The sequence below is a fragment of the Homo sapiens genome, chromosome 10 (assembly GCF_000001405.40).
Source record: "Homo sapiens chromosome 10, GRCh38.p14 Primary Assembly".
Classification (NCBI taxonomy): Eukaryota; Metazoa; Chordata; class Mammalia; order Primates; family Hominidae; genus Homo; species Homo sapiens.
This window is the reverse complement of record NC_000010.11, coordinates 24,474,261-24,497,721: the sequence shown is the minus strand read 5'-3', so window position 1 is coordinate 24,497,721 and position 23,461 is coordinate 24,474,261. Positions and strand designations below refer to the sequence as shown.

The 23,461-nt window shown below is 42.6% G+C and overlaps 1 protein-coding gene across 54 annotated transcripts in view, besides 4 other annotated features; it reads right to left on the bottom strand.

Moving 5' to 3' along the window:
• The window catches only part of KIAA1217, an 853,117-nt gene that overhangs the window by 50,122 nt on the left and 779,534 nt on the right, over positions 1–23,461 (bottom strand). For 32 of the 54 annotated variants that reach the window (XM_017016417.2, NM_001282768.2, XM_047425499.1 and 29 more), the window contains one exon: positions 2,526–2,575. In XM_017016417.2, coding sequence (XP_016871906.1) covers positions 2,526–2,575 — 50 coding nt within the window. Of the gene's footprint in view, positions 1–2,525; positions 2,576–3,117; positions 3,223–23,461 lie in introns of all 54 variants that reach the window. The other 22 variants (NM_001098500.3, NM_019590.5, XM_047425513.1 and 19 more) reach the window with 1 other exon arrangement.
• Positions 2,179–2,959: an enhancer, noted in NCBI's record as "OCT4-NANOG-H3K4me1 hESC enhancer chr10:24783692-24784472 (GRCh37/hg19 assembly coordinates)". NCBI's record gives its function as "activates a minimal SCP1, AML or CMV promoter by ChIP-STARR-seq in primed H9 embryonic stem cells {active_cell/tissue: H9 hESC(primed)}" and the evidence as "EXISTENCE:reporter gene assay evidence [ECO:0000049][PMID:30033119]".
• Positions 3,115–3,614: an enhancer, noted in NCBI's record as "H3K27ac hESC enhancer chr10:24783037-24783536 (GRCh37/hg19 assembly coordinates)". NCBI's record gives its function as "activates a minimal SCP1, AML or CMV promoter by ChIP-STARR-seq in primed H9 embryonic stem cells {active_cell/tissue: H9 hESC(primed)}" and the evidence as "EXISTENCE:reporter gene assay evidence [ECO:0000049][PMID:30033119]".
• Positions 3,615–4,116: an enhancer, noted in NCBI's record as "H3K27ac hESC enhancer chr10:24782535-24783036 (GRCh37/hg19 assembly coordinates)". NCBI's record gives its function as "activates a minimal SCP1, AML or CMV promoter by ChIP-STARR-seq in primed H9 embryonic stem cells {active_cell/tissue: H9 hESC(primed)}" and the evidence as "EXISTENCE:reporter gene assay evidence [ECO:0000049][PMID:30033119]".
• Positions 5,661–5,830: an enhancer, noted in NCBI's record as "experimental_11630 CRE fragment used in MPRA reporter constructs". NCBI's record gives its function as "activates a minimal promoter by MPRAs in K562 erythroleukemia cells, with activity observed for both the introgressed and non-introgressed 10:24780906 variant alleles {active_cell/tissue: K562}" and the evidence as "EXISTENCE:reporter gene assay evidence [ECO:0000049][PMID:34662402]".

Sequence of the window (23,461 nt, the reverse complement as noted above, 5' to 3'; positions counted from 1 at the left end):
TTGAGACAAGGTCTTGCTCTGTCACTCAGGCTGAAGTGCAGTGGCTTGATCTCGGCTTACTGCAGCCTTGACCTCTCGGGCTCAAGCAGTCTTCCCACCTCAGCCTCCCAAGTATGTGGGACTACAAACATGTACCACCACGCTCATTTTTTGTGGAGACAGGGTCTTGCAATATTGCCCAGGCTGGTCTCAAACTCCTAGCCTCAAGCAGTCCTCCCACTTCAGCCTTCCAAGGTCCTGAGATTACAGGCATGAGCCACCATGCCCAGCCTGGCTGTCACTCTTAATAGCTGTGTCGCTTTGGAAAACTAACCTAACCTCCCTGAGCTTCTGTTTCTTTTCATGTAAAATATGGGTAATGACATCTTCCTTATAGGGTTTTGTGTGTTAAATGATCTAATGCTCAGTATAAAAACCTTTGAGATGGGAGGTTCCATCTGTTCTCTTTCCACAGTAAACTACACATTCCATAAGTAGCCAGGAAGTCTGGGTTTTCCTTTACTCTTGGCCAGATGAGTTCCTTGACTTCTATATAATTCCGTTTACTTGTCTACAGAACAGGGATAATACTTGTCTTGTAGCTGACTTCCTAGCATTCTGGAAGAATTATTATATTTTGTGCACTATACAAGGCTGCTATGGCAACGAAGCCCCTGTGGACGATATCTCGCCCTGATACGTTAGAGTGAGAAAGTCCAAACCTAGCAGAGACGTGGGGAGTGAGTCCACGTGCTCATTGCCAGTGGCGTTGCAAATCAGCTCAGCCATTCAGAAGAGAAAACTAACAGCATGTCACCAGTGGCACTGAACTGTCCCTTTGGACCCACCGATTCCACTTTGGGAAATATATCTGAGGAAATGACACTGGCTCCTTTCCCCACATTTGAAAAGAAATTGACAAGAGTTTTTAGAACAAAGAAATGAAACAACCTATATATCTTTAAAGGGACTGAGGCATCTTAACATAAAAGGAGTTCAAATGGGAGGCATTTGGACTATGATGATGTGTGTCACGTGTGTGGATGTGCATTCAGTTTTCTTCTCTGGAACATGAGAATAAAAACTGTACCTCTCCCTAGATGCTGCGGTAAGGAGTTCATGAGTGAATGCATGAAAAGTGCATAGGAAGCACTCACTACATATTTATTCTTCTTCTTCTTCTCTATAAAGCAAAAAGAAATAAAAGGAGAATACAAAACAGCACGTACATATTGCTTAGAGCAGTGCTTTCAGATATGAATCATTTCTAGAATGGATTATAGAAGGATGGGAGCTTTTAGTATTTAGTAGTTTCCTTTCTTCTCCCTAAGTTTACAATCCATTTTAAAAAATGAATGAATTAAGTATCTCCGAAACAAACTGGCAATTGCTCTGAAGACAAGTTTAGCAATTTCCGTGAAATAATTCTCTGGCTTCGGCCAAGGCCACTGATTGATTTCTAAGCAAAACAACAAATCCCGTCAGGATCAGGAATGATGGCAGAGTGGCCCTGTTGGCTTTGTAGCTAAATTGTGCTCAGCCAGAGAAGAACCACGACCAACAGAGCCCTAAACTGAAGTCCCCAATTCTGTCTACTCTACCGTGCTGCACAAAACTAGTACACGTGGCTTCCCTAAATTTGGGGTTTCACCCAACTTGCCATATGCTTTCTGTGTAATTTAGTATCTGAATGTGTTCCTGCTAAGGATTTCTATTTCTAACCCGATGAGAGGGAAGACCTCATCTTCTTGCAGAGGCCTGGCTTGAGACTGCTGGATGAGACATTCATTGCAAAGACCTGGATACTAGTGAACGCCACTACTAACAGAACTGGGCTGTCTTTCTGGGGAATGCTGGCATTTAAAAAGCAGGCCTTGTCATCTGTCATGAGATTAAAAAGATAAAATAAAAAGTAGGCCCTAGTCCAAGTACTCCTTTTTCTCCCATCTGGACACTGGTCATTCCTTATTGGCTACTGTCCCTTCTCATCCATCCCCATATTGCAGCTGGGCTGATGTCCTTCCCCAGTGTACAACCTTCCGATGGCTTCACTTTGCACTTAGAACAATTTTAAATTCCCTTGACTGGACAACCCTTCTTCCCCCTAAGTCCTCTTCATCTTTCTGGGCTTAGTTTATGTCACTTTGTCTGGGGACTGCCCTTGGTATAGGCTAGTCCTATTGGTGAAACATTTATCCTGCACTTTTAAACACTTGACACACATAAAATTACTTGTCCCATTTCCATCTTCCCCACTGAATTCTAAGTTCTAGGCAGGCAGCCCCGTGTCTGCAAGATGACCACCGTGTGGCCATATCAATGAACAAATGAATGAGCGAATGAATGAAAACCGAAGGGAGAATACAGTGCTTTGCCCCCGAATTAATGAATAAATCTGGAATTTCAGTATTGGCAGGAATATCTAGGAATCCCCTGACATCATACCAAATACGTGACTTAGGGAAATGTTAAACATTTCTGAGACCAGCCAGGGCTCATCCCAGGCAGCCCACAGGCCTCCTACAGCTCCAAAAACACTTACTTACCTGCACTATCTGTGTGGTTCCTGTTGGCTGTGGTTTTCATCATTTTCTCGCTGAATAAAAGAAAAAGAGAGTCAGCTATGCAGTTTCCAAAATGCCTTTTTTTTTTTTTTTAAAGCCCATTCCATCCACTATTTGAAGCAATTGGCAGTGATGGGATTAAGCAATGAAGGTATTTTAGCATCAGCATCACAATTGGCCAGGATGGAAAAGGCTTCCCAGGTGTGCACCTGACACTGGGGGTGGAATGCAGCCAGGCTCACTTGTGACTTTCAGATGATGGCGACGTGGACACGCAAGGGTGGTGGTTGCAGGCACTGCACGGTGAGTGGTCCATGAAGCCACATGCACTGGGAAGCCCATTTACCTTCTTGGGCCAAAGTGTTACTTTCGACCAAGAATTACCAGAAGGAGGAAAGAAAAAAAGCAACCAAACCCCCCAAAACAAAAAAATAACGCCCATGATCCATAGAGATGTGAATATTTTCAGCCTTGAAATGATTACAAGAAAACAGATTTGAATGAATGAATTATCTTAATGATTAAAAGAGAAACAGATTGAATTATTTTTTTCATTGGCTTTCTTCTTTTTTACCTAGACGCATCTTTGCTATAACTTGTAATGGGCCCTTTAAAAAGCGCAGACTGAACAAGGCCAGTTAAACTGGCAATCTGTTTCTCCATGGCTTGCATCCTCTCTCTGTAAAACAAGAGAATTGTTTGTTAAAGCTTTATGGACTTTCAAACCAGTTTGTCCGGGTGAATGCACCACCTGAGGGTTATAAAAGGTACCACCTAGAAGGCCGTGGAAGTTCACCCAACCTGGCTCAGGAACATGAAGAGCCGCACATCCTTAGCTCAGGTCAAGATTCGTGATCAGTGTTCAGTATCAAGCCAGTGACCTGACTGGCTAAAAAAAGACACAGCACGGACCAACTCAAAGACATCTCCCTCGGAAACACTCCTGTTTGCACATCCTATGTTTTTGAGTCTTTCTGCCCTGCTTTCTTTCTTTCACCTTGCACAAAAGGGCTGTTCCCTAGCATTCGCAGTGTCCCAGGCCAGATCTCACCTAGCTGCACACATTTCTATGCCGTACACCTCAGCTGGGAGGCTGCGGAGTGGTTTTGGTGTAAATGATGGAGCTGTTTGCTGTGTGGGTAGTAACACTTGTGTCACAGCTTAGGGGCAACACAAACATGTCTCTTCTTTAGACCATGGAGAAATATGACTGAAACCCGGCCGGGCGCGGTGGCTCACACCTGTAATCCCAGCACTTTGGGAAGCCGAGGTGGGCAGATCACCTGAGGTCAGGAGTTTGAGACCAGCTTGGCCAACATGGTGAAACCCTGTCTCTGCTACCAAGATTGCACCAGTGAACTACAGACTGGGCAAAAGAGTGAGACTCTGTCTCAAAACAAAACAAAACAACCCATTTATTTGAAGGTAGATGATGTTAGATCTAATGTCATAGGAACTTTAGCCTGGAGGTTTTTATAGAATCACGCAGGAACACGAATATCCCTAACAGCTTGGCCATCTCAAGATGTTAATGAAAAATTTCCCAATGATTTCCATATACAGATACTGTTCCTCTCTCTCCAGGGCTCTTTGATGTTTCATTACAGTTTAGCTGGCATTTGAAATAGACTCACATTTCTAGACCTCAGACAATGGACGTTTCGCAGAACTATTGCCATGTTTTCAACACATTGTTAAAAACAACAATACGAGTAAGTGAATAGAGGCTTCACATGTCACCTCATGTGAATTCAGTTATGCATATTTGTTAGTTCAAAACAGGAAAAGGAGAGAGAGGAGAACAATGTATATGGCATGGGCATTGCCTGTGCTGTTATCTCCCATGAGTGAGTGTCCTTGCATGAGCCTGAGATAAGAGAGGGGACCTCACTCCTCACTGCGGATCTCAGTCCCACAGGCCTCTGGGTTTGTGAGTGGTGGGGATTCCCATGCTGCAAACAGTATATTCTTACACTATTAAATACATGCTGGCTAATTTATCTGATTGTCAGTGGAAAAAGTAATGATGGTCTGGCCGGGCACGGTGGCTCCTGCCTGTAATTCCAGCACTTTGGGAGGCCCAGGTGGGCGGATCACCTGAGGTCAGAACTTCGAGACCAGCCTGGCCAACATGGTGAAACCCCGTCTCTACTATAAATACAAAAATTAGTTGGGTGTGGTTGTGCATGCCTGTAATCCCAGCTACTCGGGAGGCTGAGGCAGGAGAATCACGGGAACCTGGGAGGTGGAGGCTACAGTGAGCTGAGATCGCGCCACTGCACTCCATCCTGGGTGACAGTGCAAGACTGTCTCAAAAAAAAAAAAAGTAATGATGGCCTGTTCTTCCACTAGAAAAAGCCAACTGATTAAGCTGGTGCATCTGCATCCTGAATTTTGTGACAATCAAGATGATATTCAAGGGTAATTTTGTCCAACTCAAGCATTGCGGCCTTGAGTTTTGCCTTTGGAATGTAACTCTCAGTGCCATATGTAACACTGATCTTAATTTTGTAATTGGAAGCTTCTGATATCAGAACTCCATGCATTTTCTTTAGTTTAAAATTGAAGGTCTGTCACAATACTGAGTTTCTTGCATATAAGTCATGCAGTCTGGATAGTTAAAGGTTGCAAATCCACCAAGGAGGAAAAAAAACACCAAGCAATTTTAAGTATTAATAGTATGGTCTCTCTGCTGTAATAGAATGGAAATAAGAAATCTCAAACGGTGAGTGTGGAAATATATCTCCACGGAGTGATTTGCAAATGTTTCCAGGTACACCAGCCGATGCTAAACCTCTCAGCCATATAGCATTTCAGTCATACCTTGGCAACCCTCTTTGCCATAAAATAGTCCACATATCAAAGAGAAACAATGGTAAGAAATTCAAATAAGGAAAGCAGGTTAGTGAACATCCATCAGCAATGTCAAGCTTATTGACCCAAGTCACAGTAGCATCTCAGAAAAAATGGGAGTGGTGGTTGGTCACTCTTCCTGCCACATGGGGGGCACAGACTTGCACACACTCTTGGGAAATGAATGACTTCCTCGGAAGAATGCTCAGCCCCAGGTGAAAGTTGCCCAGTGTCCTCATTCGTCCCACAGGGACTCTATCCGCAGTGGTGCTGGAGTAAAATGAATGACAGTAAGAGCAGAGGTGCATTCAGGGCTACCTTGAGATGTACCACTTTACTGCTTTTCTTCAATCCTAGGCAAATGCAAAGGATATTCCTTTAAGAAAAAAAAAAAGGTAACGTGGCATTTTTAGAGTCTAGACAGCTTTGGTAAGGAAGTTGCTTAAAGGGTTCTGTACAGCTGGAGTGTGGGATAGGAAGGCATGATGACAACCTTAGTACATGCAGAAGACAGTAATATTAAGAAATGCAAGAAATAGGTAGGTCTCATTTATGTAGAGACTAAATGAGACTCTGCTAAGAGGGAAATGGCAGAGGGGAGTCCTGGGATTCCATCGCTGGCCACAAGAACAATGCTGGTTAGGGCTAGACCAGCCTTCTTTCTGCTTCCAGTCTGGTCAACAGGTTTCATTACATCGTCCAACAAAGGAGAGCATCAGCATTAAAATTCAAAACAGGCTGGGCGCAGTGGCTCACATCTGTAATCCCAGTGCTTTGGGAGGCCAAGGCAGGTGGATCACTTGAGGTCAAGAGTTCGAGACCAGCCTGGCCAACATGGTGAAATCCCGTCTCTACTAAAAATACAAAAATTAGCTGGGTGTGGTGGCACATGACTGTAATCCCAGCTACTCGGGAGGCTGAGGCAGGAGAATCACTTGAACCCAGGAGGCAGAAGTTGCAGTGAGCAGAGATTGCACCACTGCACTCCAGCCTGGGAGACAGAGCGAGACTCTGTCTCAAAAAAAAAAAAAAAAAAAAAGGAAAAAAAAAAAGAAACAAAGCACCTGAATCATTCTGGATAAACAACATTGCTGCTCCTCTACTGATTCATCCTCGAGGTTAGAACTATAGAATGTCACAACACAGACCACGTCATCTACACATGGAAGTCTGGGGAGCTGCAGACACACCTTCGGCATGTTCCTTGGCTCAGTGAGTACTCAGCTTCTACCCTGAGCTCCCACCAGGTAATAGTTTTAGGGTGCAGAGAGAGACAACTCCCAAACAACATCCTATTCTTCTTTAAGGCTGACATTGACAGAGTTGCAGAACGGTCTGGGATAAGAGTCTGGGTGCTTTTAGAACAAAAGGGCTATATGCACTCCAGGTACCCACATGCTTGGCTTGCCTTTTTGTATCTGTGAGGAAGGGAGTGAAGGCTCCCTGGATGGCCTCGTTCAGGGCATGTCACCTGCAAGGCCACCAGGAAAGAGACACGCTGCATCAGAGATACTGAGTCAGGTGGCTTCTCATCTGACATCCCCCCTGGAGAGTTCAGATGCTTGACAGTAGAGGGGAAGCCATTCTCTCCTGGGTGGGAGCACACAGAGCACCGAATACAAGTGTATGCTCTACTCTCTTGACCAAAGCCACTTCACAAAAATACCATTCTTTTGACATATGGTAATGAGAAAACATTTTCCCTCCTATTTAATCGTCAAAGTGTGTCTGGTTTCAGGATTCATATTGGGGACATTATCTGATTTATACATTAATAAATAAGATTGTCTTTCCATTTTATGGTTGGTAATCTGGAAACAATTTTATGGTTTAAGTAAATTACAGCAACTGGAAACTTATGCAGCCTTCTCCCATGATGAAATGTTAGGAAGTGTGTTTTAAAGTTGAAAGGGAAGAAAGCAAAGTGCCATGGAAGAAGAGAAATGAACACAACCCTGTCATTTTATTGCAGTGGCAATTTTTCATGCTCATCATCAGAATATTAAAGACATTTAGGCTCATTCTTGCCAATATCGCTTGGTTTAAAATATGACAGGACTGATACAATTACTGTTGAAAAGATGGCTTAAAAATGATTTCGTAAACCATTTTATATCATTCCACAAACCATATTTATGTGATTAGTGTATATGGTTAACTAGTCATTTAATGTCTTAAGTCAGCCTGTCTGAATGAGTCTTCTCATGATCCAAACATAATATTAATAAAAAAACTCAAGTCAAATTCAGGGAAGTGCTGTTTCCAGTGTTAAAAGTCCGATTACTCTAAACAACTTTCCTGCAAGCTCCATGTCTGTCTGTGAAGACGAAGCAAAATTCATACCGCTGGTGGTCTGTTCTGCCTTTGGAACACAGAAAAGGAAAAAAAAGAATCTGTGTTTAGGGGATGATTTTTAGCCAATGACTCCATTTATAGAACCTTTTTTTTTTTTTTTTTTTTTTTTTGACAGGTTCTCACTCTGTTCCCAGGCTGGAATACAGTGGCATGATCATAGCTCACTGCAGCCTCAACTCACCGAGCTCAAGAGATCCTTTCACCTCAGCCCCCCAAGTAGCTGGCACCACAGGCATGCACCACCACGCCTGGCTAATTCTTTTGTATTTTTAGTAGAGATGGGGTTTCACCATGTTGCCCAGGCTGGTCTTGATCTCCTGGACTCAAGCGAGATCGGCCTCCCAAAGTGTTGGAATTACAGGCATAAGCCACCATGCCTGGCCCACTTATATAACTTTTTGATTCAAGTTTCACCTTGATTTTTTTTTTTTTGACTAGAGACTTTGTACTGACCAAAGTGTCACTAAGCCTGAATTAAGTCCTTATTATATATCTAAGTAAATGAATGGCTATTAAGAAACAAGTCAGTAGCATATGAAGCTGGCGATTCCCCTATTAAGAATCCCAAAGGATTTGTTCTTAAGTTTCCAGAAGACATATTACAGAAGATGGCTGAAACCAGCTAGCCGAGCTGATGTGATTAGTCCCTAATCTGAAGCATTAACCTTCCTAACCAGTTAGGGGATGATTTTTAGCCAGTGACTCCATTTATAGAACTTTTTTTTTTTTTGAGACAAGGTCTCACTCTGTTCCCAGGCTGGAGTACAGCACGAATGATCATAGCTCACTGCAGCCTCAACCCACTGTAGTCAGTAACAACTGCAGTATTCTGGCCTTCTGAGAGTCCCTACTAGGTGGTTCCGCCATTTGCTTCTAGTTCTAAATTTTGCAATTTTTTTCTTTGTATTCCTGCTCATTCCCTGTCATCTCTCTCCCCACCCCAGAAAGTGTTACATGGCCAAAGAGTCAATCAACAAATATTTTTGAGCCCTTAATACGTGCTAGGTAACATGCTAGCTGCCGTGGACACAGCAGAGGCACTGCATCCCCTTTCCCAGGCATGCCTTTCTTTGACAATGTCAATTTCCTTTTTTCTAGGAGCAATCTACCTGAACTAAAACTCTTTGATCTTGGCAGTGCCGAAGGCATTTTTCCAGGATGCAATAGTGAACAGGTTTAAAGCGAGGCTATGCCCTTGTTTGTTCATGCCCTGACTCTGGTATGAGGAAAAAAAAACCCAAAGTAATTAAAGACTGTTTTCAGACGAGTTCAACAAAACAAAGGAATTTAAATTGTCTGAATTTGTGGTAAAGCTTCAAATGTGACTCTAAGCAATGACCTTTCTATTTCTGCCAGAAGTTAACCTATTGGTGGAAAAGCTGTGTAACTAAAGACATTGTTCCCCAAACTCCCAATACATTTAACTTCTCATTGACACATTTAGATCTATTTGGGAGACACTGGTGTAGTGGGCAGTCAGGGCTGCCATTTCTTCTCCCCGGGCCCTGTGCTTATGGCATGAGCAAGAAGACTGGCTACGTTCTGTCTCCCCTAAAAAGCACTTCAATATTTTGTTTCGTCTAATGTCTCAGTATCTCCCCTGCTTTGGAATTCTTGACTATCTCATCCCTAAGTTCCCTACCACTACCCAGGAAATCCCCTCCCATCCCTGGTGCTCCCATCCACCATACCCCAGCTGCCATCCTTTGTAGCTTCAACATCCATACTTACAACCCCTACAGAAATTTGGCACTATACAGCCTCAAAATCTTTACAGCCATCCTCTGACCTTGAGTTCTAACTCAGAATGGTGTTACTGTCTAGATCTGAAACTCCAAGACCCCCTCTAAGTATGGCGATTTTTTGTTGTCTTCATTTCTCTTATTCATACAAACTATTTCTTTATCTGTAGCCTGGCCTTGCTTTCTCCACCTTCGATACTGTCTGAACAGTCTCTGGTCATTTCTCCTGCCTCTTACCCAGGTTGGACCCTGAATACTTTCAACATTATCCCAACTGAACCCCATTGCATCTGGGCTATTTTTCAGCCTTGCTGTTCCCATGCTATACTGACGTTGCTTTCTGAATGACAGAGGAGGGTAATAAATGAGAAGAAAAGGCCCCTTGTGCCCCTTCTATTTCTTCCTATGTCCTCTCCTTCTGGTAATCTTCAAGGAGACAGAGTTGGGGGAAACCTTCTCATTAGGCACTTTTCCCAAGTCAGGAAAGAGTCTGTAACCTAACAAAGGGGCTCATCTAAAATGTTCTGCATTTCACTTACAGTGCAGGAAGACAGACACATTTAAGGATACCTGTAAAAAAAACAGGCAAAAATGAAGCTCCATTTACAAGGATCTAGAGGAAAAAGCTATTTCTAATCTTTCTTCATAAATTCACTGAGGTGTTGACAGAATGAAAACTGGCAATGAGATGTGGAAAGGGAATGCTGTGGCGATGATGGTATTCTCTCTAATAAATAGTTCTTCACATACTCCTAGGGATGCTGTTTATTTTCTTCATGGCCTCGGGAGACGATTGATTATCATGTCAATTTCAGTTCACTTCCACCATCACTTTGTGCGTGAGCACCATGACGGGCGCTGAGAGTCAGTGATGCTGATGCCTTTCTTCCTGATCCTAGGCTTCGGATGACTTGGCTTGGGTGGGCATGGTGGCTACAGCCCAGCCAGAATTCTGTGGGGTTCCTCTGTGCTCAGTGCTATCAATAAGGTACTCCTGGATGGTGGAGACGGAGCAATAGGCTGCGGAAGAACAAGTTCTTATAATAGGTGAGATGTGAATGATGCTGAAAAGAATGGCAGAATTTATCCGGAGGGAGAAGAAGAAGGAGAAGGGAGCAGTGTTCTGAGCAGGGTTCCAGGGCAAGCGGAGAAGCCGTAGACCAAATACAATTTAGTGGAAGCAAAAACAGTGGACCAGGAATTAACTGTGTTTGTTCTCTGACTCCATCCTTACAGCGGTGACCTTTCTTTCAGCCATTAATCCAACTGACATTTATTGAGCACCTACTGCATACTAGGGAATGCTCCAGGCACTAAGGACATAGACATGAACAAAACAGACAAAACTCCTTGCTTACGTGGAGGTTACATTCTACTGACCATTAGCGAAATAGATGATAAACCTTAGACACCAACGAACATGAAGGAGAAAAAAAAATCTGGGAAGAGAGATAGAAAGAAGAGCTGAAATTTTACGCAGGGTGAGCAGACAGGGCTTCACTGAGAAAGTCACTTTTGAATAAAGACCTTAAGGAAGTGAGAGAGCAGGCCATGTGTGCTGTCTGGAGGAGGAACGTTCTAGGCTGTGGGAAGGGCAGGTGCACTCACACATATACACTCTGCCCAAGGCAGGAGCATGCCTGGCAGTACTGAGGAGAGCTGGGGAGGCCAGTGTGCCTGCAGTGAAGGAAGGAAGGGGAGGGTGATTGAAATGATGTCAGAGGGGCAGACGGTTGACCTGTCCAGGGCTTGTGGCGAGGGGAATCAAATCATTTATTCTCCACACCAGGATACTTCAGAAAGTGGACAGGGGAGCCATTGGTCATTGCAAGTATTGTACAAGGACAATAGGGATACCCTGGAGCTGTCCCAGTCCAGCCGAGAAGGGCATTCTCCCTACTTGTGTGTCATCTTAGGGACTCTCACTTTGACCCTGAGTGTGATAGGAACCATGGGGAAGTCTGAGCTGAGGTTGGACGTGAAAGGTCTCATGTTTTAACAGGGTCACTCTGGCCCCCTCCACTGAGAACAGGCTGAAGGTGGCAGGGACTGAGTGGAGAGACCTCTTGGGAGACCACTGCAGCAAGTCAGGTGAGAGCTGGAGGTGGCTTGGCCCAATGGGTAGCTGTGAGGTCGAGAGCAATGGCTGGAGCCAGGAAACCTCTGAGTACAGATCTTACTGTTCTCTGGGTCTGGGTGTCCAAACGCAGGGTTGGGGAGACAGCAATCAAGATGACACCAAGACTTTTGGCCTGAGTGACTAGATGAATGAAGCTGTTGTTACCTGATGTGGGGAAGATAGGACTTTATTTTTGGGCATGCTGCATTCAAGTTCATTAACAGACATCCACGGGGAGATACAAATCTCCACTCAGAAGTCACTTAACGTCTCTGGGTCTCCGCTCCTTAACCATCGAATTGGGAAAACAACTGCCTTACCTGTCCCAAAGGCTGTCACCCTACAGAGACATCAAAATGAGGGCAAATGAGAAAAATGTGTAGCGAAGCACATTATAACCTGTAAACCATTGAGGATGTGTAAGCCTTCATGATATCCCTTTAAATTCATTCATTCAACAAATATTTCTTGGGCCAGGCACAGCTCAAGATGCTGGGGATATGGTGGTAAAAGCACAGGGCTTGCCCTCATGGAACTTACATCTGGGGCACGGGAGACTGCGGGGGAGTGTTGCAACTTCAAGTGTCATGGCCAGGAAAGGCCTCCCTGAGCTGGTGGCATTTGGCAAAGCCTTGAGTTTGGAGAGGAGCCAGTCAGTTAGACATTTGGTGGAAGAATGCACGAAGCAGCAGAAAGAGCAAAGGTGAATTCTCCAAGGTCAGAAAGTCCTGGACAAGGTCAATTACAGGAAGTGAGGGAACATGGAGTTGAGTTCTTGGCAGGCCACGGAAAAGGCTGAACGAACCCTTACTCTGTAGAGGAAACAGTCTCAGAAGGCCCCTACCCCTTGTTAAACAGGGGTACCCATTCTCTCACACCCACTACCCACAGAAATCCAGCCTCACTTAGAATCCTGGAATTACATAAGTTTCTGGTTGGAAGGGATTTACATAAATCCCATAGCTCTTCCCATTCTGGGTCTGTGATCTTGAATGAAGCTATTAAAAAAAAAAAAAAAAAGCGGGCAGGTCCAACCAGGAGGTCCAAGCTCAGTCCCACCCAGGCCTGGTGTTCCCCGCATGCACAATTGGCTTCCCAGGTTCTAGCAGTGCTCTGCCCAGCACAGCAAATGCACTTAGGGAAGGCTCCAGGCAGCCTTTAATCTATTTCACAATTCACTTTCTGTGTAGGCTGTTCTGGATGGGACCAGGAAACAGCCCCAAGTCAGGAATAAGGACACAACCCCCCTCAGATCCGAAGGGCTGGCACAACTCTATGGCTTCATGGTTTTATGTCAATGAAAAATTTATTCATAGAAAACTGTCCAGTACACAAAGTGATCTAATAGCTATTTTCATTTAAATTGCACAGAACTTGTCCCTCTGCCAGGCACAGTGGCTCACACTTGTAATCCCCAAATTTTGGGAGGCTGAGGTGGGGGAGGCTTGCTTAAGCCCAGGAGTTCGAGGCTGCAGTGAGCTATGATTGCACCACTGCGTTCCAGCCTGGGTGACAGAGCAAGACCACATCTCTAAAATAATAATACATTGAAAAATAAAAATAGGCCATACACGGTGGCTCACACCTGTAATCCCAGCACTTTGGGAGGCCGAGGTGGGCGGATCCCTTGAAGTCAGGAGTTCAAAACCAGCCTGGCCAACATGGTGAAACCTTGTCTCTACTAAAAATACAAAAAATTAGCTGGGCTACTGTGGTGGGCTTCTGTAATACCAGCTACTTGGGAGGCTGAGGCAGGAGAATTGTTTGAACCCGGGAGGCGGAGGTTGCAGTGAGCCGAGATCATGCCACTGCACTCCAGCCTGGGCAACAGAGCGAGACTGTTTCAAAAAAAAAAAAAAAAAAAAAAATATATATATATATATATGTATATCTATCTATCTATATATATGTATATCAATATATATGTATATCTATATATATATACACACACATATACATATATACATATATATACACATAAATATAATAAAAATAAAAATAAAAATTGCACAGAACTCTTGAGTAGATTATCATCCCCTTATTAGGACAAAAGACACTGAGGCTTAGCCAGGCAGGGCTTTTCTTAGGGAAACAGATCAATTAGCTTGCAGGCTTTCTCGGATCCAGGGCTCTCTGTGGCACTGAGCTGCCTCCCTTAGTGACTCACATCTAGGGTGAGGCACTTCACTTCCTGTTGGCTCTCTGCTGGGTGCCTAGAGCCGCCACTCCCCAGGGCAAGCCTACACCCTGCTTTATGAAATCACCTGTTTTGCATTTTCTTTCTCTTCCCTGAGGCTAATCTGGAACATTTGTGTTCTGGAATTGACATCTCATTTTTTGCACAGGTACAAACAGGTAGGAATAGCAGTTGCTTCATGTTATGGGCCAGCTGAACACGGCCAGCTAATTTACCTTCAAATGAGAGACGGTGTCAGGAGAGATGGTCTCTTGAGTGGACCTCATGGTGACTGTGGAAATGAACTCCCCACTCTCGCCTGCTTTAGAGCTGTAAATCTTAGGGCGGACTCAAAAGAAATAAAATAATGACTCTTAGGGAAAAGAAAAAAACATTTGCTATATTTGGTCTCTCTAGTGCATTTCCTTTTTGTTTTGTCTTAGTTACTTGTGCTTGCAAAGACAAAATGTGAGGGGGGCCACGGCGAGTCCTGAGCTGAGGCTCGACATGAAAGGTCTCACGTTTTAACGGGGTCACTCTGGCCTCCCCAATGAGAACAGGCGGAAGGTGGGCAGGGACTGAGTGGGGAGACCTTTTGGGAGACCACTGTAGCAAGTCAGGTGAGAGATGGAGGTGGAGTGGCCCAGTGGGTGGCTGTGAGGTCAAGAGCAATGGCTGGAGCCACCCTTAAGGCAGCAGGATAGCGAAATGTCATTTAACTAGAGTAGCTCCCATCCTTGGACCTTTAGGAAGTCTCCTTGCTGTTTCTCCTGCTGTAAAGTCAGCTATTAGGACCCAGTATTCTCCAAGGTCTCTTTAGCTTTGAGGATGGACAAGGAGACAGAGGAAGTATTTACTGGTGATACAAGTTGGCCCTGCATGAGTATATACAGACTTTTTTTTTTTTTTTTTTTGAGACAGGATCTTGCTCTGTTGCCCAGGCTGGAGTGCAGTAGTGCAATCATAGCTCACTGCAGCCTCCAACTCCTGGGCTCAAGTGATCCTTCCACCTTAGCCTCCTGAGCACCTAGGGCTACAAGCATGTGCCACCACACCTAATTTTTCAAAAAGTCTTTTGTAGAGATGGGATCTCACTCTGTTGCCCAGGCTGGTCTTGAACTCCAGGGCTCAAGTGGCCCTCCTGCCTCAGCCTCCTAACATGCTGGAATTACAGGCATGAGTTACTGCACCCAGTTCAATACAGACTTTTTAAGATCTGTGATTTTTGAAAGTTAGAATTCATGCTTAGACCCAGCTGTATTTTTTGAATCACTTCATTCATGAAAAATGAAGTCCAGAATTCAAATAAGGACAAGTGTAATCTCCATGGTTTCCGCCAGACAGAAGGACAAGTAAATCACAAGAGAGGCTAAACTATGTGTCCTGTGTGTCAACAGAGTCTAGGATTATCAGCTCCTGGGCTATTTTGACGATCCATCTTTAGGTTGGGTGGGAACCCCACGATTCTGCATTAAGCTGATTTTGTCATCTTTTCAGGAGGCTTACTCTGCACCTAAGCTATTCCTCTTCTCTTTGAAGTTCTAGTTGGCAAAGGACCGAGTTATCTGAATCTCACAGTATTTAGTTTTTTCTGGCTTAAGTTTCTGGTCTCAGACTTAGGGCTTCTGATTGAGAGCACCTCATGAATATTCAAAGGAGATACAGCAGCACATTTTAATTTGATCTAATTAGTGACAGACGACGCCTTTTCCTTTTGAGATATTGATTTGTTTAAAGTAGCACACAGACCTTGTGGCTGCTATTCCATTGGCATTTCTGACAGAGTATCCCTGGTGTAAGAATAGAGCTAGCTGCATAAATCTGTTAGTTGGTCTAGTATGTTTATCAAGTATCTGATGCCTGAACTCAGGAGTCTAAGGAATAACTAGCAAATATGACTTAACCATGAAATTCCACTCCTGTGAACGAAATAACAATTCAGTTGGTCAGCACTTGATTTCTGAGACTGGCAAAACATCATATCGAGATGTCATTTTTATAGGTACCATGATGGTAAAAGTATAGCAAATTTTGGATAGAGACTAGTTGGTCTTTCCCAAATGACATCTTTTCATTACGTACATGCCCTCAATTCTAGACCATCTCAATGTTCTCAAGAAGGCTCTGAGACCCACATAACTTTGGGAAAATGTTCCCTTTTCTGAATTCATAGCAATTACCGTCTGTATCACTTCTTTGGAATTAATTATGTACAAGCAGACCCCAAATTATGGCAGGCTTGTCATTGAAAAGTTTACTTGTACTTTCATTGTTTAGAACTTGGAATAAATGGTGGTTGGATTTCCAGCTGGCCCATGGAAGCCTCTTTAACCTACAATGTATTATTAGTCCTGTCGTCGTTCCTCATTGTTTTCAAGGAAAACGTGTCCTGACTTCCAAGCTGGACTTTGGGAAGCTGGGAAGAGATCTTTCTCTGGAGCTCAAGCCTCTGGGGGTGCCATGTGACTTGGCATGTCCCCTTCTCTCCTCTCTGACTCACAAGGAGACATTGTCACTCTCAGGAATGACAAGAAGAGCATCCCTGGGCATCACCAAAGCCAAAAGAAATATCACGTGTGAAATTCAATGATTGTGGTTGTTTCTCAAAAACAGGTATTCAGTAGGCATTTGTAACTCCGAAGCTTCCTGTACTTAAACCGTGACAAAGCTTATATGTTTATATTAAGCTTTTAATATTTTATGACTGTCTTCATGGTTTATGTTCCTGGTGTATGGGAACCATATCTCAGTTTCTTTGTATGCAGCAAATCCTCCAGTCCACAGCTAAGCACATAAGAGCAGCTCAATAAACATTTATTGATCCATAATTACAGCTACATGAAAAAGCAATTCAGACAAGAGCTGAATCAGTCAAGCACTATTAGGCATCAAAACAGATAACCTAATGATTTCACGCATACCTGGCTTAGCTGTCTTATCTTCAGTCTTATAGCTCAGATGCAGTTTTAAAAGGATGCCCTGAACCTAGCTTGTCTTTTTGCCCCTGGACCCAAGCAGATGTGCAACCCTGGCTACTTTCCTGAAATGAACTTCGAAGCAGTTTTGATACTCTAAACATTCTAATTTGGATCTGTAAGCCCAGCTCATTCTATTCTGTGTTCACATTTAGTTTAATTCTCTCACCCTTGCTCACCTTACGTGTTTTCTGATATTATATTCAGAAATGTCTCTCCCTGCTTCTTCGGGGAGTTCCTCATCCTTGCCAACTCTGTGTATTTACATTCCTCTTTAGTAGCACTTAGTAGAGTGCTTTGCTCAAACTAGAAACTCTCAGCCACTTAGTATATCCCAGGCTGCCATAACACACTGAACTGTAATGAGTTGTTGCATCCTGTGGGGTAGATACTATTATTATCTCTATGTCACAGTTGAGCAAATGGAGGCAGAGCAAGATTCGGTACTTTGTCAAAGGTCCCATCTGCTGGCAAGTGTTAGAACTGGGATTTGAACCCAGGCACTCTGGCTTGGAAGTCCATTACAAGTTACTGCCTCTGAACAACTGGTTGATGAGCAGATTGACTGACCTGAAGGTAGTCATAGCAAGCTCTATCAATAATGAGTTGCTTTATCACGAGGAGGAGGGCAGAATGGAGGTAATAACTGTCCTGGTCCTTGCCTTACGAATGTCACAATTTACATTGCTTGAACATGGGGTATTCTTTCATTTCTCTATTTTATTAAAAGTAGAAAAAGTTCAAATTTCCTTTAGAGCAACGTTTCTAAGCTGGGGCATTTTGCCCCCCTGGGCAGGGCATTACAATATCTAGAGATGTCTTTGATTATCCTGGCTAGGTCAGGATTGGTAGTTGGTATTTGCTACTGGCTTCCAGTGGGTAGAGGCCAGAGATGCTGCTAAACATCTGCTACGGTTTGGATATGGTTTGTCCCCACTAAAACTCATGTTGAAATGTGATCCCCCACGTGGCAGTGCTGGGAGGTGGGGCCTAGTGGAAGGTGTTTGGGTTATGGGGGCAGATCCCTCATGAAGGGCCTCATGCTGTTCTCAATGTAGTGAGTGATTTCTTGCTCTCGCTTTTAAGAGATTGGATTCATTCTATCAGTAATGAATTTGTTCCCATGAGAGTGAGTTGTTAGGAAACCAGACCCCCCTCAGATTTCTCCCTCTTTGCCTGGGTTCACTTCTCCCTTGACCTTCTCTGCCATGCTATGATGCAGCACAAAAGGCCTTGCCAGAAGCTAGGGCCATGCCCTAGAACTTCTCAGCCTCTAGAACCATGAGCTAAATAAACCTCTTCTCTTTACAAAGTACCCAGTCTCAGGTATTTTTTATAGCAACACAGAATGGACTAAGACAACATCCTACAATGCACAGGACAGCCCCCTACAGCAAATTATCAGGCCCAAACTGACAACAGTACAGAGGTTAAGAAACTCTGCTTTACCGAGATGCTAACTGTAACTACTTAGGATATCGCTGATGTGGCTCACTTTTTACTATACCAGCAAGAAAGGAAAGCAAGTAATCCTTCTTTTCCCATCATTCAAACTGACTGTCCTCTAGGAGGATAAATCATGGTTTAGGAAATCTTCAAAGGTCTTCCAGTCGCAGTGAACATTTTTCAATGACATAAATCTGAATTTAGACTTTCATTTGATCAACTGTTTAACCAAGGATCCATCTCACCCCTAAAAGTTACCAACATAGTAACATTGAATCCTCATAAAATGAGAAAGTGATGTGAAATGATTAACAGCAGACACAAGCTGCCAGTTGCCATGTGGGCTTCCTCCTGTACACAGAAGGTTCTGCTAAGTCTACCATGCCTCAAAAATCATAATAGAAACTCAAGTTGTTTGCTTTTCTGTAGTTATAGGTGCTCGGAATGGGCAAAATTTTTCTTCCTAGTGTAACTCTATGCTAATTTGTCGAATGTAGCTGCTCTAGGTATAGAATAGTGTAAAAATACAATCTCAGTTCAAGTTTACTGGGTCCTGAAAAATCAATTTGGAGGAATCTGTTACATATTTCGAAGGCAAGGTAGTCACTTTGCGATAAGCACTCTTGAATTTTGAGTGTTATTTCACTAAAGGTATTTTACATTACAGTATATGATCCAAACTACAAATAGAAAATAGCAAAACATAAATGTCCCAGAATTTTACAATTCTTAAGGGCTGTTTTATGTGCCATGAATAGAAATAATGATGCTGTTTAATGAAGTAATTTTACAACCTAGAGAAGACAGAGCCTCAGGCACTAAGCCATTTGTCACACATGGTCTCCTTGGGCAGTCTCTCCTGGTCACTAGGACTATTCTCTACTTGGAGTCCTAGCTGAATGGAAGTCACTTGGATAAAACCACTTCATCACTCAAGATTGCTTTCTTTTCTAGAAGCTCAGACACTAGAATGGCTGTTCTGAAAGTCAAAGCAGCTATGATCTGTCACTGTACCCCAAAGTCCCTGGTAGGAGACCCCTACCATCACAAGAATGTTATACCATAGACACTGTGTTCTTCAGATATTCTAGATGCAATTTATTATTACTAGATGCTCATTGAAGCATCTTTAGAAAGAAAGAAATGCCAAATTCATTAGCACAAGGTATGTGACTAAATATAAGACTGAAGACTCAATTACTTAGTCTTGAGTGAGCTATTTTCAAGTCAACAGAGCTGTTACCAAATCATGTTCCTTCAAAAAAGCTACCACTGGATGTCTTCAAAGTATGCATGTGGAAGGAAGAATTTTTCCCTCTGATTTCTAACATCCCACAGTTATTTGGGCTACTATATTGAAGTGCTCTTCAGAACAGCATAAGAACCCAGCAGTGCCAACAGAAAGCACAGCCACCGATTTCTCAGCCTCCCACTGGTGTTTTTGCAGCTTCACATCTTCGATGTAAAATGTCACTTGAGACTCTCATATGAAAAACACTCTCATATTTATTTGCTTTTTAATATTATGAAATTGCAACAGAAATTGGATTGGTTCTTTATACGACCCTGTGCTCATGAAGTTAAGCTTTAAGGGGTTGAAAATTCTTTAACAATACTTACACAGATTAAGCATTTCTAAATAACATCATGGTATAGATGAGACAATGGATTATAATTTTGTGCTTCGGTAATTGTTTCTGATGTTCCTGTTTTTAACATTTTTCTTTGACATAGTACTCAGATGCATTTAAAAAAATGAAGTCTACCAAGAATGCTGTCCTCTTTCTTCCCCTATTTCTGCATAATTGTGCTAATATACTAGCTAGGGCAGTTATATTTAAAATGGCATGTGTATATTTAGCAGCATAATTATGCAAATTCTACTGTGTTTATGATTGTAAATATCCTTTAGGAGCAGTTACTTAGCATCTAGTCCTGAAACAATTTTTGAAGAATTCTGGTTGAAATGTTTAGAATTCACTCCTGAATTAACTTCTCTGTTGTGTGGAGGTGGGGCTTATAGTTCTCATTTGCAAGGCAGAATACTGCACAGTGGTAAACAGCATGGAATATGTAGAATTCTTTAATAGTCCTGGACATTTTATGCCACCTACTGGCTTTGTGGCCTCGGGCAAGTTACTTAACCTCTCTGAGCCTCAGTTTCTCCATCTGTAAAAAGGAGATGATGATAGTACATATCTCACTGGGTTGTCATGATGATTACATCATATAATGTATAGAAACCACTTCACATAGTGCTTGGCTCATAAAAGGCTCTCAATAAATGATAGGTGCCATTCACCTCCTTCCTATACATTCCCCAGGAATGCTACATGTCAGCCTAGTTACCAAGATATCTAAAAGAGTTCAGGGCCAGATTCTGAGCTGTCCTTGGAGGAGGAAGTATGGCATGAGCTTCACCCTTGTCACTTTGTCCCATGTAAGAAACAATGGGGGAAGCATGTAGGAGTGCTGAGGGCAAAAGTTCCAGACTCAAGTTCTTTTGACCAGAGAATTATTCTTCACCTTTGACATGTGACTGAGGGGAGTTAGCGGGGAGTGTTTAGGTCTTTCAGCAATAGTGAGTCTAAATGTAGAGAGAATGTGTAGGTGTGTCTGTCTTGTGTGTGTGTCGTGTGTCTGTGTGTGTCTGTGTCTTTGTGTGTCCATGTGGTATGTGTGTGTCTCTGTGTGTCTGTGTGTCTATGTGCAGGTCTCTAGGAAAAGAGAATCTAACCGGCCCACATATACCCAAGCATTCCAATTCCACCCTCTGGAGATAAGCTGATTACAGGTGGGGAGTCACCTTGGCAAGATGTATGAGATAAAATTTTTCCTGTGCTATTTTACATTATGGGGAATGAAAAATGTGAACATGTAAAATTACATTCATAATTACAATCATATGTCAGAATACACTGGTGATAATGACTGTATTTTAGGTGAATATTCATCTGTTTTGTCAGTTTTTCTTATATTGTTAATCTGGAAATAGAATAATTTGGATTTTCTAAAAAGGTTTTCTAACATGTAAAACTGAAGTCCATAGAATTTTCTGAAATTTTACAAAATGGAAGTCTCTAGGGTTGGCAGATCTTTTTTAAAAAAGGGAGTGGAGGCTCTCAAAGAATACCCATAGTACCAAAAGCTAAAATCTTTCAAGATTTTGATCCCATACAGAGATGACTCCACAGGTCAGCAGAGGGTTTGTTTTATTCTCTCCATAACTAAACGTCTTGAAAAGTGAGGCTCAAGGATGTACATTAAGTTGTGTGTGCGTGGTAATCACACAGATGACACTGAGCTAGGTTCTGGAAAGAAGGCAGACACCATCTTTGGTTGGCCAAAAATTTTGATAATTTCAGCACTATTCCCAAAAGAATATTACATCTAAACTAATCTGTTTTCATGCAAATTCAGGTTTTTATCATCCAAGAACCGGGGTGGAAACAGTTCAATATGGTCATGGCAAAATCAAGCTCCTGATGCTCTTTTATCTAGGATAGGTCAGTGTGGGAGGTAGGATTCTGGCTCTCAACATTATATGCAGGAGACAAATTATCTTTATTGTTTTCTGGTCTAAATTCTTGCTCCCGTAAGTTCCATCCCCTCAGCAACATACCATTTCCCAACCAGCACCTCAAAGCCTGCCAAAGGGGACAGGTGTGTTATCCTTTCTGTGAAGTATGCAACACAGGCTTCCAAGACTTATCGCACATCTTGGTAGATTCCTCTCCAGATGTCACATTGGTCTGTTCCCATGAACCACTATGAGTGTTTATCCTATACCCCTTAGCTGTCTGCAGTGACGGGAAGAGTCCCTTTCTTTGATGCTTAGAATTTCACTTCATGAGGACTTTGGAAAGGAGAGAATGAATACTATTTTCCAATCCTTATTTTTTCTTAGTCCTGCATCATCAAGCCATTCACTGTTGTTGTTATTCTAGCTACATGAGAGAGTTAGAACTTTTGTTTCATTAATGATCCCAGAACTTTCATGTTCTTTCTCTTTCTGTCTCCTGGAATCTTTCTGCTATGATATTCCCTGTAACTGAACAAGTAAGAAGGGATTGCCCTTTCATAATAAAACTGTGCTAAAGAGGACTTCAGGGCTTTCTGACTTGTGTGTGAAAACAGTAAGGTAGACAGGTCACATTCCATTCACAATTTTGGCCTTCTTTTTACATGGTATATAATAGTAAGTGATATTAACATTTTTTAGTGAGAAGCAGTGGTTCTAATAAGGTATTGAATAACTGAATATCTAGACACCTTATTTTTCTTTTTTCTTTTGAGATGAAGTCTTGCTCTTGTCCCCCAGGCTGGAGTGTGATGGTGCGATCTTGGCTCACTGCAACCTCCACCTCCCAGGTTCAAGTGATTCTCCTGCCTCAGCCTCCCGAGTAGCTGAGATTACAGGCACCTGCCACCACACCCGACTAATTTTTGTATTTTTAATAGAGATGGATTTTCACCATGTTGGCCAGGCTTGTCTAGAACTCCTGAGCTCAGGTGATCCACCTGCCTCAGCCTCCCAAAGTGCTGGGATTACAGGCGTAAGCCACTGCACTTGGCCTGGACATCTTATTTTTCATACCCCTTGATTCATATATAACAATAGGTAGCAGCATGCTTAAACCTTCTTTGGACTCAATTTCTTTGGCTAGATTTTTATGATTATTATGTTGACTTGTTTCAACCAATTCAGGCTAGAGAAATTCCCTTTATCAAAATTAGCTTTTCTATTACTATATGAACTTTGGAAGGTTTTCAAGATAGAGTAGGAAGCTTCTGAATTGGTAAATTATAAAATATGTCTATTTAAAAAGAAATTCAAGTCCCCAGAGAGTCTTTCCCTGGAAAAATTTTGCTGATTTCAGCACCACTCCTAGATAAATATTAAATCTAAGCCATTCTATTTTCATGCAAATTCAGATGTTTATCCTCCTAGAAAACAGACACATTATTTCCACTTCCCACAACCAGATGAGAAAACAAAATTGTATTCCACAAGGAAAAACACAAACTGCCATTTCCAACAGTTAAAACTGAAAACACTCACTCCTTATTTTCAGCAGTAGCAGATCAATTATTATGACCTTTTGATCTTTTCATCTGTCTTCTGCTAATGACAATTTTCTTCCAAATTATTCAGATTTATACAAATGATAATGCTCTTAGATCCATGCTCCAGAGGCACAAGGGACTGATTACTATTGTTGCTGCACCTGTCTTCTTGAACATGGCTTAAT